Source organism: Homo sapiens, chromosome 9, assembly GCF_000001405.40.
Source record: "Homo sapiens chromosome 9, GRCh38.p14 Primary Assembly".
NCBI classification, from domain to species: domain Eukaryota; kingdom Metazoa; phylum Chordata; class Mammalia; order Primates; family Hominidae; genus Homo; species Homo sapiens.
Genome location: NC_000009.12, coordinates 123,331,011 through 123,344,384, shown reverse-complemented (window position 1 = coordinate 123,344,384; position 13,374 = coordinate 123,331,011). Strand labels below are relative to the sequence as shown.

Here is a 13,374-nt window from a genome sequence, read left to right as displayed (position 1 = left end):
GGCAGGTGGCCAGCCCTCTCTGAACCTCTGGGGGAGGCTGAGCAGCTGGCCCACACAATGCGGCACAGGGCACCACTTCACACTTCCTCTTCTTCCTCCATTTGCAGGCTGAGGCTTGTGCTGCCCCTCCAGGCCCTGTGCTAGATGCTGGGGACAAAGATCCTGTCCTGTGGGGACATCCAGCGTCTGACTGAAACACTGGTGTGAGCCTGAGCTTTGGGGTGGGTTGTGGGGACTACTCTGTGCTCCAGAGCCCCTCTTCAGGGCCAAGCTGCTGGGACTGCTGTTACCTCACTGGGTTATACCCCATGCCAGGGACAGCCTGTGGCCAGTGCCTGACCCATGTGTGGCTGCAGAGGCACGGCTCCTTCTCAACTAGGAAACCCTAGGGGATCGTCAGCTCCAGGGGTCCTCGTAGGGACCTCAGTTGCAACCTCACGGTGGGTCAGTCTCCTTCTGCCCAGTCAGCCTTGCTCCTTCCTTCCAGGTGGATCTCCCAAGGACATGCCCCAAGAAACACACGTGCAGTCCAGAATCTGTTTCCAGGAACGCAGGCTGAAATACTTGTCACAGACAATCCTGGCATTGAATGAGACCCAACCCAGGTCATCCGCAGACTCATCGTTCCCAGGCAGACTGAACCTCAATACTGCTTACAGACGGAGCCTAGTTTCCACCCCAGTCTAAGCTCAGATCCTAGTCCCAGACTGAGCCCAGGCCTCCCATGGAAAGCAGAGGGCCATTTGAGACAAAATGAAGAGAGGCTGCGTGGGAGGTAGAAGACTGGGGTGTGGCTTACACTGAGAACTGAGCCAGACTCACCCGGTCAGCCAGGAAGTCAGAGTCACGGAATCTCAATTCAGAGAGGTATTTCTAAAAAACACCTAAATGGGTTCCTCTTTATGGAAGAACCAAAATCTACCACGACTGACAAGAAAAATCCTAATAGCTGTGGGCACCAAGCCATGGGATCTACTTCCAGGTCCCTCTGCTTCCTCGGGACAACCCGTAGAGTTCTATTATCACCCATTTCATTTTATTTCAGTGCTTTATTATTGTGTTATATTGTATTTATTTTGAGACAGGGTCTTGCTCTGTCACCCAGGCTGGAGTGCAGTGGTGCAATCACAGCTCACTGCAACTTCTAACTCCCAGGCTCAAGCGACCCTCCTGCCTCAGCCTCCCAAGTATCTGGGACCACAGGCATGTGCCACCACACATCATCAGTTTTATTATTTTTTGTAGAGACACAGTCTCCCTCTGTGGCCCAGGCTGTTCTCAAACTCCTGGGCTCAAGCGATCCTCCCACCTTGGCCTCCCAGAGTGCTAGGATTACAGGCATAAGCCACCACACTCATCCTATATTATGGTGCCTTTTATAGACAAAGTGGCCAAGGCTCAGAGACATGCATGACTTGGCCTCTGGCCCACACTGTATTTCTATAGGATCTAGGCTCAATCAGGGGCTCATCTCCCAAAGGGAGACTCATAAGGAGCATCCAGGCCCCTCTGTCACCTGAACTAGCTAGTCACCAAGTTCCTAAGTCTTGCCCAGGGCAGCAGGGGTGTCAGGGAAGGGTAGTGAGTGGCACATGAATCTGTGCAACTGATCCAGCCCCAAATTCTGGCAGGCCATCATTCCCTTCTGGGTGTCCCAGTTCCTATCATTGGATGCTCAGAGTCATCTCCATAAGGTAGGCACTATTATGCAGACATGGCACAGGTAAGGAAACCGAGTCCCCCAAAAGGGGATCCCACTTGTCTGGGCTCACAGAGCTGAAACTCACCTCTGGAATTTCTGATCCTTGGTCTTCCAGCCTCTGCCGTTCTATATGGAAGAACAAAGGCCACTTCCCCGTGTGCTCCACACCACGGATTCTTCATGCATCTGTCCATCCACCCACACAGCATCTCTGTGACAAGCATCTTCTATGCACCAGGTCTGGGCTGGGTGCTGGGGACTGAGTGGGGAACCAGAGGCAGAGCCTGACCTTGCGGAGTGTTCAGGCTGGCAGGGGAGCCACACAGTCAATAAACGTGCTCACAAGAAATGAATGCATCTCCATGTGCTAAGCACTGGGGAGAAGCAGCCTGGGAGATCATGAGTGGTGTGACAAGGACTGTCTCTCTTGGGAGTGTTCTCTGGATTCCAGGGAACTCGTGGGCAGAAAATCTGCAGAGATGGACCATGTAGGCTTGGCCTCGGGGGACAGAGGCTAAGAGAAAGTGTGAATTATGCCCCAAAGGAGTCAGCTCACTTGCAGAGGCTGCAGCCACCCTACTTGGCTCCTCCAAGGAGATGGGGTCCTGGGGGCTTGGCTGCAGCAGGATATAAGTGAGGAGTTTATTGAAAATCTACCCCAGATTCACTTTGTGAGACGTCCCAGCTGGGGCCTGAAGCCTCCAAGAACTATATTAGAGCTTTAGGAGAAATAACGAGAAAGATTATTTCAGGAAGAGGGAACGGCATGAGCATACGGCTGGAGGTGGAAAACAGTAGGCAGACCCAGAAAGGTGGAGCAAAGAGAGAAAAAGGAGGAGAAACTGGGTCCCGGCCCTCAGAGACTTCACGGCACCCTGGGGAGACCCGGTTCCCACCGTGCACCAATAACAATAATTGCTGCCCTGTTGCAAGCTGACCCAGTGCCCAGAAAGGGTCACACATGATCTCATTGCATCCTCTCTAGATCCAGGAAGATGTTTACTGCCAGGTCCCACTTTGCAGATGGAAAACCAAGGTCAGAGGGGTTAAATCTGTCACCCAAGAGTGCAGCATTAGTAAGTAAAGGGTCAGCCTACAATTCCATGGTGCAGGGCTCCACAGCCCCTGCCCTTAACACTCCCCTATGTGCCCACAAAACAATCGGAGGAAATCTGGAGGTGATGGGCAAGGCCCATGCCAGCTCCACCTGTGGTCTTATCTGTCTCTCCCACTGAGCTGAGAGCTCATTTACCTCCGTCACCGCAGAGCCCCGCGTGACGCTAGGCACAGATCTGGTGCTTAGGAAGTATTGTGAATAACTCATCATCATAAGAACAAACATTTATAATGTGCTCACCATGGGCGGTGTAAACACAACCCTATGAAATCTATACAGTCATTATTCCCATTTCACAGATGGGGTAACGAAGTCGCAGCAAGTAGTGAAGCCGTGATTCACCAGACAGCAAGTAAATAAATTAACAAGCTAATTAACGAGTGAGTGTAATGATGAATGAATGAATGAGAGTAGAGATGAGTAAATAAGTGAGGGGTTGAGGCCGGGCAAAGTGGCTCACGCCTGTAATCCCAGCACTTTGGGAGGCCAAGACGGGTGGATCACCTGAGGTCAGGAGTTCAAGACCAGCCTGACCAACATGGTGAAACCCTGTCTCTACCACATACCAAAAAATTAGCCAGGCGTGGTGCCTGTAATCTCAGCTACTTGGGAGGCTGAGGCAGGAGAATTGCTTGAACCTAGGAGGCGGAGGTTGCAGTGAGCCGAGATTGCACCACTGCACTCCAGCCTGGGCAACAAGAATGAAACTCCATCTCAAAAAATAATAAGTGAGAGGTTGAAGTGGGGATGGAGAGGGTGAAGATGAGGTATAGGTCTTGGCAGCATGGAGAAGAGGTGGAGGCCCTTCTTCTTTCCATCCCCACCTTGTTCCCCTCCAGCCCCCAAGGAAAGGCCCCTTTTCATTTCCTCTCAGGGCGCCTGATACTCTTTGCCAGACTGTTGCCTAGCAACAGTGCCCTCTACGGCCAGCTCCACCCACTTCAGACGCCAAGGCTAGGGGTACACAGCCAGCTCTGAGGGCCTGGCCTTTGGCAGGCAGGGAGTGGGGGGCCCTGGGCTCCCAAGTTGTGAGAAGGAGGTCAGAGAGCAGAGAGGAGCCTGGGTGGGCTCTGAGACTGGAGGCAGTGACCTGCGAGGAAAGGGAGTGTGTCCTGGGCACCAAGCCATGGCATCTAGTTCAGGGCCCCTCTGCTTCCTCAGAACACCCCGTGGGGTCGCATGATCACCCACGTGACAGATTCTGAAGACAACTCTGCCTTGTGTAGGGGAGGGAGGCCATGTCAGGCTGCGCGTAGCAAGAACCACGGGGCCTTGAGTCTGAAGTCTGAGTTTGAGTAGAGCTGGGATGAGTCACTTCCCTTCCCGAATCCACTTCCCACACCTGAAGAATGGAGACATGGTACCCACTTCCCGGGGAAGTGTGTGAGGATAGAGCAGGAACACGGGAAGGCTTGGTACTGGGAGGGTACGGATTATTTTTATAAGCAAGGAGTGTGACATCTATTTTTAGAGGAGAAAGAATTTCGTTACAAAGAACTCTCCTAGTCCCCTCCCAGAGTGGATGGGCTGAGGTGCGGGGGAGCAGTAGGCCCGGAGGACTCCCTGAAGAGGTGGCCTGGGGATTCCTGGCAGAGGGAACGGCCTGTGCAAAGGCCTGGAGACACGCGACTGAAGCGCGCCTAACAATGGCTACCATGGATTCGTGGGCAGGCGCCTGTACACTCAATCCTCACGGCAGCTCCAGGACACTGGAGTTAGTGCTCCTGTCTCACAGGAAAGGAAACGTTGGCTCAGAAAGGTAAAGAAACTTGCTTGAGGTCACGCAGCTGGTGAGTAGCAGAGCTACGTCCGGTTCGCTTTCCCCTGGTTATGCACTCGGGGAAGAAAGTGGCTCAGACGCGGGGAGTGGAGAGAGCCAGTGGTGAGAAACGCAGCTGCGGTGCGCAGTATCATTCCTACATGTAATCCTTCTCGGGAGGGCCTGGACCCATGGCGAAGGAGCCCGGGCTGCGGGCAGAGGGTAATAGGGAACCATCGATGGCTTCTGAGCTGAGACAGAAGTGACCGAGGCCGTCCCTCGGTGCTGTCCTGGGCCATCCGGCTCCGCCTCCTACACTCTCCACTCTCTGCATCCACCACCCTCCACCCCCGCTGCTTCTCAACCGCACTGAGAAACCATGTGTGACGGTGGAAAATGTAAAAATATATATGCAACCGAAAAACAACATCGGGCTGACAGCACACAGCTATAAATACTCTGACGGGTGCAGAAACGCTCCTCCGATCCTGCTTCCTGCCGCCTGAGGAGCGGGGGCATGGTGTTTGACAGGTGGGGTGGGGGGACTCAGGAAGGGAAAAGGAAAAGGGACAACTATTCGTGGACCTACTCTGTGCCAAGCACTTCGCAAGCGTTACGTCACCAAGTCTTCGCAGAACCCTCGAGTGACTCACCACCGTTATTCCTGTTTTACAGATAAGGAAACCGAAGCACAGAGAGGCAGGTCATCTGGCTGAGGTCACACAGCCACACGGCGAGAGAGCAGTGAAGCTGGAGTTCCAGCAAGCTCCACCTGGCGAGAATTCAAGCCCTGCCATGGGCCACCTCTCTGGAGGAAGAGAAAGCCAGCTTCAGACTCTGCCTCTCTCAATCCTTATACAAGGCCAGAGAGCGCTTGAGGCTTCCAGGCACTCCTATGCTTACACACCTTCCATGGCTCCCAGCTGCCCTCCAGATAAAGAACAATCTCCTCAGTGTGGCCCTTGAGGTCCTGTGATCTGGCCTCTGTCCACCACCAGGGCCCCCCTCCTGGCCAGATCTCTGAGCCTCGGCCAAGCTGACCTGCTTCTCTCAGGGCCTCAACAGGGCCGATCTCCATCCCTGCTGTTCCCTTGGTCCAGCATGCTGTTCCCCTCTAGTTGCTTCTCCTTACCCTGGGGGCCTCCACTCAAATGCCACCTCCTCCACTGGCCGGACGCTGCCATTAACCTGCTCGAGTGCTCTCCCTGCAAAACTCAGCACAGGCTGGGCACAGTGGCTCATGCCTGTAATCCCAGCACTTTGGGAGGCCGAGGTAGGATGACTGTTCGAGCCCAGGAGTTCAAAACCAGCCTGGGCAACAAAGTGAGATCCTGTCTCTATTTTTTAAAAAATTAGCCGGGCGCAGTGGAGCACAACTGTAGTCCCAGCTACTCAGGAGCTTAAGGCTAGGGGGTAGCTTGAGCCCAGGAGTTCGAGGCTGCAGTGAGCTGTGATCACATCACTGCACTCCCACCTGGGTAACAGAGCAAGACCCTGTCTCAAAAAAAAAAAAAAAAAAAAAAGACCCATAGCACAATTGTAATCATGTGGGTCATTGTGGGGTGGTGAGTCACAGCTGGTGAGTGGCAGAATCAAGACCAGGTCCAGGTGGTACAGCCACAGAGCTGGTGCCCCCAAGTACTCGGCTGCTCACACGGGCCCCAAGAGACCTCCTCACTGGCAAGAGGAAGCCACCTCCTCTCAGAAGAATGAGCAGGGCTAGAGTACAGTGGCACAATCACTTCTCACTGCAGTCTCGAACTCTCTGGCTCAAGCAATCCTCCCACCTCAGCCTCCTGAGTAGCTGGGACTACAGTCGTGTGCCACCACACCTAGCTAATTTTTTCTATTTCTTGTAGAGGTGGAGTCTTCCTATATAGCTCAGGCTGGTCTCAAAATCCTGGACTCAAGCAATCCTCCTGCCTCAGCCTTCCAAAGTGCTGGGATTACAGACATGAACCACCGTCCCCTGTAACTACTGTTTAAGAAAGTAAAAAGATGCAGAAGAAGTTAATCTAATATTTTGTTTAACCCACTATACTCCAAATATCATTCCTACATGTAATCAAGATAAAAAAAATTATTAATGGCTGGGTGCCATGGCTCACGCCTGTAATCCCAGCATTTTGAGAGGCCGAGGCAGGCGGATCACCTAGGGTCAGGAGTTCAAGACCAGCCTGACCAACGTGGTGAAACCCTGTCTCTACTAAAAATGCAAAAATTAGCCAGGATTGGTGGCGTGTGCCTGTAGTCCCAGCTACTCAAAAGGCTAAGACAGGAGAATTGCTTGATCTTAGGAGGCAGAGTCTACAGTGAGCCAAGATTGCGCTGCTGCACTCTAGCCTGGGCAACAGAGCAAGACTCTGTCTAAAAAAAAAAATAATAATAAATAAATAATCATTGAGATATCTTACTTTCTTCCATACTAAGTCTTCAAAATCCAGTGTGTATTTCACACTTGTAACACATCTCAGTTTGGAACAGCTGCATTTCAACTGCTCAACAGCCACATGTGGCCAGAGGCTACTGCACTGGGCAGCACAGTGCTAGACTATAAACTCCATGAGGGCAGGGACCAAGCCATACCCACAATTATTAAATCTAGCATCTGACACAGAGTGGACACTCAAGAAATGTTTGTTGACTGACTAGCTGAATGAAAGAATGAATGAACAAATGAATGAAGGAATGAACAAATGATCTAAGGCCTTCTCAGATCTGAAGCCACACTCCCAGCACAGGCCATGGGAAGGGCATGGAGATGAATTCCAGCCCCACCTCTGCACCCACTTCTCTGAGTGACTGTAAGTACCTCCACTTTTGGGGCCTCAGTTTCTCCAGCTGGTCAATGGCTGGGGGGCTGGACTCTTGTGATTTTTCTGGGCTCTCACTAGAGGACTTTACCCAGAAGATGGGAGTTGGGCCCTCGGTGAAGTTCCCTCCTCCATGCCACCCCATCACCCTACTCTCCCTCCACCTGTAAGATAGGAGATCTCAGGAAAGGCCTCCAGGTGGCCTTCTGTACAGAGTGGAGCCACACCCAAGAGGGGAAAGCTGAGGCAAGGCTTGGTACCTTGGCACAGGCAGCAAGGCCAGGGTGGGGGTGCTGAGGCTTGGCCTCCTCCCTCCAGCATCATCACCCCCACACCTCACATTTGTTCAGAGTTGAGAAGAGAGCAGGGCGGGGCTTATCCTTTCAGTTCTGCAGAGAAGGATAAAAGAGACCGAGAGACATGCCAAGACCAGTCTGAGGTCACATGGGGGGCATGACAGAACTGGCTACTGCCCTAGACCTCTGTTTTTCTCATATGAAAAATGGATACAAAATGTGTCGTCATCCTATCAAACATCAATGCCTCAAATCCAAGCTCCACTACTTAACAGCCCTGTGATCTTGGGCAAGGTTTACCTGGCTGTGCCTCAACATCCTTATTTGTAAATGGGTATCATAATAGTGGCAACCTTGCGGGGTTGTTGAACCATTAATGTGTGAACGTATGTAAAGCGCTCATAAGAATATCTAGGACACTGTGAACGCCATATGAGTGATAGATATTATTATCAGCCTTTATCACAGAGCTGTACTGCAGTTTAAATAAAGGAAGAGGTGTGACCAGGGTTTGCAAACTCTGAAGTCCCCTCTGGAGAGGTAAGCACCTTTTGGCTGCAAAGAATGTTGCAAACTATAAAATGCCGTGTGACTTGCAAAGCACTTTGTAAATGTTGCCGCAGTGAGGAGGCTATTGTAGGTTAGCCTTTCATAATCCAAAAAGCACTTCAAAATCATAAATCACTTTGGGGACCGAAGAGCTCTTTGTAGGGGCTTTCTAGACTGTTGAGTGCTGTGCAAGTCAGAGACAAGTGGCCTTTCAAAGACATGAGCAAGAAGCCGGGGGGGAGTGGGGAGAGAAAGAAACCAGCCCCAGAGAATAAAAACAGCAGTCGTTTTCCTCTGCTCTCGTCACCTCCCGTGCCAGCCAGTGCAGAGAAATTCCAGCAGATCTGCAGATTCCTGCGATTCTGTGCTGAGGCCAGGGAGGCCTCCCTGCATCGCTGACTCAGCCAAACGAGAGGGTGTGAGTTAAGCAGGAATCAGCTCCATCTTCCTTGCTTCTGTGCCTCTTCTTTTTTCTTCCTTCTGCCACAAAGGCAATGAACCTGACACCATTTAAAGATTTCCCTCTTTGGCCTCCTGATGACCTTGCCCTGAGGCCCAGACTTGGGCCTGCTCTGGAGACCCAGCCTGGGATGTCTGCCACCCCCATCATGGAAGGAGTAATAGGGCTGTGAGGGCAGAGGGCAGGTGGGGCCAGGCAAAGACCCTGGGCTCCAATCCCAGTTCTGCTATTTCTCATCTATGACCTCGGGCAAGTTCATTTACTTCTCTGAGGCTGAGTCCCTCAGCCATAACATGGGGTTGACAATGCTCATCTTGTGTGTCATCGTTAGGTGGCCTGGTGTGCATGCAAGTTCTGTCCCTTCCTCTAACTGTAGGCATGAGGGCCTTCTGATAAGGGAGAAATAGATACCAAGGCAGCTTCTACAGTGTAGGGGCTTTGAGCATGAGTTTTCAAATCATAAAAACTTGGGTTCAAATCCTGGCTCTGGCCAGGCCCGGTGGTTCACGCCTGTAATCTCAGCATTTGGGGAGGCTGAGGCAGTCAGATCAGATCACTTAAGCCCAGGAGTTCCAGACTAGCCTGGACAACATGGCAAAACCTAGTCTCTATAAAAAATTTAAAAATTAGTTGGGCATGGTGGCACACTCCTACAGTCCCAGCTACTCTGGAGGTTAAGGATTAATGCCTACAATCCCAGAGTAGCAGGGAGGATCGCTTGAGCCCAGGAGACGAAGTTTGCCATGAGCCAAGATCACACCACTGCACTCCAGCCTGAGTGACAGAGTGAGACCCTGTCTCAAAACAAAAAACAAAACAAACAAACAAAACTTCTGGCTGTGCAACAAACCAGCTGTGTGTCTTTAGGCAGGTCATATTACCTTTCTGAGCCTCTATTTCCTTGACCCATAGGATGAGCATAATAGTCTATCTTGTAAAGTGTTTACAAGGACTTGAGACATGATGCATATGGCATGTGTGGCACAAAACCTGGCACACAATCACAGCTCAATGAATGGTCACGATGATTCCCCCACCTCCCCAGGCTAGTTTGACAGTCTCATTGTATTCCATCATATCACACACGTCTCCTTCAGGTGTTTCCTCATGCTTTCAAGTAATAGATTAAAAGCTTCTGGACCCAGCCAGAACCTGCCACCCCTGCTATTTCTGCAAACCCCCCTGAGATCCCTTTTCCACAGCTCACTCTCCTCTACTCATATCTCTATCTGCAATATGTCAACCTCAATGTGAAACTCAACTCCTTCTTGAGCCTGTCACAAGCCAGGCATGAACAATACATCCTCTGCTATAGATTTCATTAACGGGAGAGGGGTCTACACTGCAGCCTCTCTTCCCAGGAATTGTGGTGAACATAGTCATCTTCGTCCAGTTACAACCATGGGTCTGTATACCCCTTGAGGGATGTGGCTACGTGCCTTGTTCGCTGTTGCTTCCCCAACACCCAGTGCAATATCTGGCCCCCAAGAGGCAGATCTAAAACACGCGGTGAGTAAATTAATATACGACAGGGAAAGACGCTCTTGAGCTGGGGGAGAATCATGTGGTTGTCCAGTGCCCTCAGCTCTCAGGTCAGTTTTGTGGCAAGGGGACAGATTTGGTCCCCGCTGCAGTCAGGAAGAGGCTGATACTGATGTGTGTCCATTTCAGACCTCAGAAATAACCACCTGCCCAATACAGTCTTGGCCTTTTCAAGGTTCATGTGCCTATTAACACTTGGGGATCCTTCTTCACCCTCAGGTCTGATGCTTTCCCATCAGCAATTGTCACCAAGAGTGACTAAGACACAGGACAGTGGTTCCCCAAACCAGCTGCACATCAGAAGCCCCTGGGAAGCTTTGGAACACCAGAGCCACTTGGAGGTCAGGTTCCCCCGAGATCCTGATTCAAATGGTCTGGTGTGGGGCCTGATAATTGATTTGTTTAAAAATCATAGCTGATTCAAAATTATATCACTGACGGCCAGGCGTGGTGGCTCATGCCTATAATCCCAGCACTTTGGGAGGCTGAGGCAGGTGGATCACCTGAGGTCAGGAGTTTGAGACCAGCCTGGCCAACATGGTGAAACCCTGCCTCTACTAAAAACACAAAAATTAGCTGGGTGTGGTGGTACGTGCCTGTAATCCCAGCTACACAGGAGGCTGAGGCAGGAGAATTGCTTGAAGCCAGGAGGCGGAGGTTGCAGTGAGCCGAGATTGTGCCATTGCACTCCAGCCTGGATGACAAAGCAAGATTCCATCTCAAAAAAGAAAGAATAAAGAAAAAGAAAAAAAATCACTGAGGCAGAGAAAGGTACTTTTTGTTTTGTTTTGTTTTGTTTTTTAACAAATGGGTCTATGAATGCCTGCGGGCTTTCCATCTAAAGCCCTCCATGAGTCAGGCAGTCTGTGGGCTGGATGAGGGCCCGGCTGAATGCTGGAGAGGAAAGCATGTGGGCTTTGGAGTGACTGTAGATGTGGTTTTGAATTTTACAACGTCCTGGCTCTGTAGCCTTGGGAAAGTCACTTCACCAATCTGAGCCTGGGCTTCCTCCTCCATCAATTAGCAATCAGAATTCCTGCCTCACAGGTCGGCTGGGAATAATCAATGAGAGAATGTCGTATGTAATTATCTGGCACAGGGCCCAGCCTAGGGTTGGCGCTTTGTAAAGTGAGGTTCTGTTGCCTTCCTGAGCAAGCTTGGGGTAGGAGGGGAGGGCAAGTGTGGCCCCCACATTGGCCTGAGCCCTTGATGGGAAGAACACTGGACTGGGAGAAAGGAGGTGTGGCCCTGTCCTAGTTCTAGACCATCATGAGGTGTGACCTTGGCCAAGTCACTCCCATCTCTGAGGCTCGGCGACCCCATTTGACTCAACCCTAGGAGGTAGTTAAGTGGTGAGATTTAGGGGGAGATTGACCTGGTTCAGCCAATTATCTGGGGCAAGGCACTCAACCTATTTCTTTGGACCTCAGTTTCCTCCTCTGTAAGACAGAGATCCATTGGTGCAGATTCTTCCCAATTCTGTGTTCAGTGATATCATATTGGTAGCTTGAAATCAACCATAGTGGGAGTATTTACACCAAGGAAATTGGCAAACATTACACATCAGGGATCCCCCCTCACCTTCCCCCAGCAGTTTACCAGCACACCACTGGAACTCAGATAACGATACCTTCCGCCATGCATGTTGGGAGTTTCAGAAAGCTATTGCCTGTTTTTTTAAGCACTTAGCACAACACCTGGGACATAGTGGGCACTCACACATGCTAATTAAACACACTTAACATTTGTCAGCCATCACTTTGCTTGGTATAAAGTGTTCACACATCTGTCATCTTATATAACTTGATCAGCCCCAGGAAGTTTCCAGAGGAGGAAATCCAGGCTCAGACAGGCTTGCTGACTTCAAATGCAATTACATTTTGCAGGCCCACTCTATACTGAGTTATTCTTACATATCCATCCCATTTCAGCCTCACAACTCCCTTTCATTACAGATGAGGGATCAATGGCCCAGAAAGGGCGAGCGACCTGCCCAAGGTCACAACGCACTGAGTCTGAGGCCTTGGTATCCATCTTGAACCTGCTTCTGCCAGTGCCCATCTCTGCCAGGCACCCTCCCCACCCCATCTAGCTGCCTAGTCTCCAGTGAGGGCAAACTCTGCCGATATGATCTCTCTGGCCCTTTCCAGCTCTGACATCCTCAGTATTTAAATCAGCACATGAATATTTCACAAGTATCCCGGGCGAAAATAACCCCCTGCCTGGTTATGTCAGGCTGCGGCCCCAGTCGCTAGGCCACGGCTCTCTTGCTATTTGCGAGACATGCAATTCTGCGAGGCCTCCCAGCAGCAGCCCAAGGAATCGATAGTCTTTAAATAAGTAATTAGAGGAGCGGAAGACGTCGGCAGAGCTAGAAGGGAGCAGGGGAATATAAACTCATAACTCTCCCAAGTTCACTGTTAAGAGCTTGGTTCTGTTTTTTGGTCAAGAAATGTGGCAGGGCCTGGGGCAGGGTGAGAGATGGCGACGGTCAGGGGAGAATCAGAGGAAAACAGTCATTGTTGTTATTTATTGGGTACTTCCTATGTGTCAGGCTTTGTCTCATGATTGCCTTACCCAAAGTTCTCCTAAAGTCATTGAGGTTCAGAGAGGGGAAGTCAGTTGCCCAGGGCCACACAGCTGGAGAGTGGCAGAGGCTGCAGCCCGTCTGACCTCTGAGCAGGGTTTCTCAGTCTTGGGTTATTGACATTTGGGGCTGGAGCATTCTTTGTGTTGGGAACTGTTGTGTGCAGTGCAGGGTGTTTTGTAGCATCCCTGGCCTCTATGTACCAGATGCCAGTAGCACCTCATCCCCACTTGTGACAACCAAACATGTCTCAAGATGTCGCCCAATGTCACCTGTGGGGCAGAATCACAGACCACAGTATACAGTCTGTGTTCACTTTGCTGCTCTCTTCCTCTGCTTTTAGGATATGGATTAAAACCCTTCTCTTAGGCCAGGCATGGTGGCTCACACCTGTAATCCCAACACTTTGGGAGGCTGAGGTGGGCAGATCACCTGACGTCCGGAGTCTGCCCAACATAGAGAAACCCCATCTCTACTAAAAATATTTTAAAAATTAGCTGGGCGTGGTGGCATGTGCCTGTAATCCTAGCTACTTAGGAGATTGAGACA

The 13,374-nt window shown here is 51.0% G+C and overlaps 1 long non-coding RNA gene across 1 annotated transcript, besides 3 other annotated features; it reads left to right on the top strand.

The window, feature by feature from the left end:
* Positions 634 to 693: an enhancer, noted in NCBI's record as "active region_28939". NCBI's record gives its function as "activates an Ori minimal core promoter by ATAC-STARR-seq in GM12878 lymphoblastoid cells {active_cell/tissue: GM12878}" and the evidence as "EXISTENCE:reporter gene assay evidence [ECO:0000049][PMID:35858748]".
* Positions 4,291 to 5,300: an enhancer, noted in NCBI's record as "active region_28938". NCBI's record gives its function as "activates an Ori minimal core promoter by ATAC-STARR-seq in GM12878 lymphoblastoid cells {active_cell/tissue: GM12878}" and the evidence as "EXISTENCE:reporter gene assay evidence [ECO:0000049][PMID:35858748]".
* Positions 4,335 to 6,984, top strand: LOC124902266 (uncharacterized). Its single transcript, XR_007061760.1, has 2 exons — positions 4,335 to 4,578; positions 5,254 to 6,984. It is a non-coding gene; the product is annotated as an uncharacterized LOC124902266 (long non-coding RNA).
* Positions 6,161 to 6,320: an enhancer, noted in NCBI's record as "active region_28937". NCBI's record gives its function as "activates an Ori minimal core promoter by ATAC-STARR-seq in GM12878 lymphoblastoid cells {active_cell/tissue: GM12878}" and the evidence as "EXISTENCE:reporter gene assay evidence [ECO:0000049][PMID:35858748]".
* Positions 6,985 to 13,374: the final 6,390 nt, after the last annotated feature.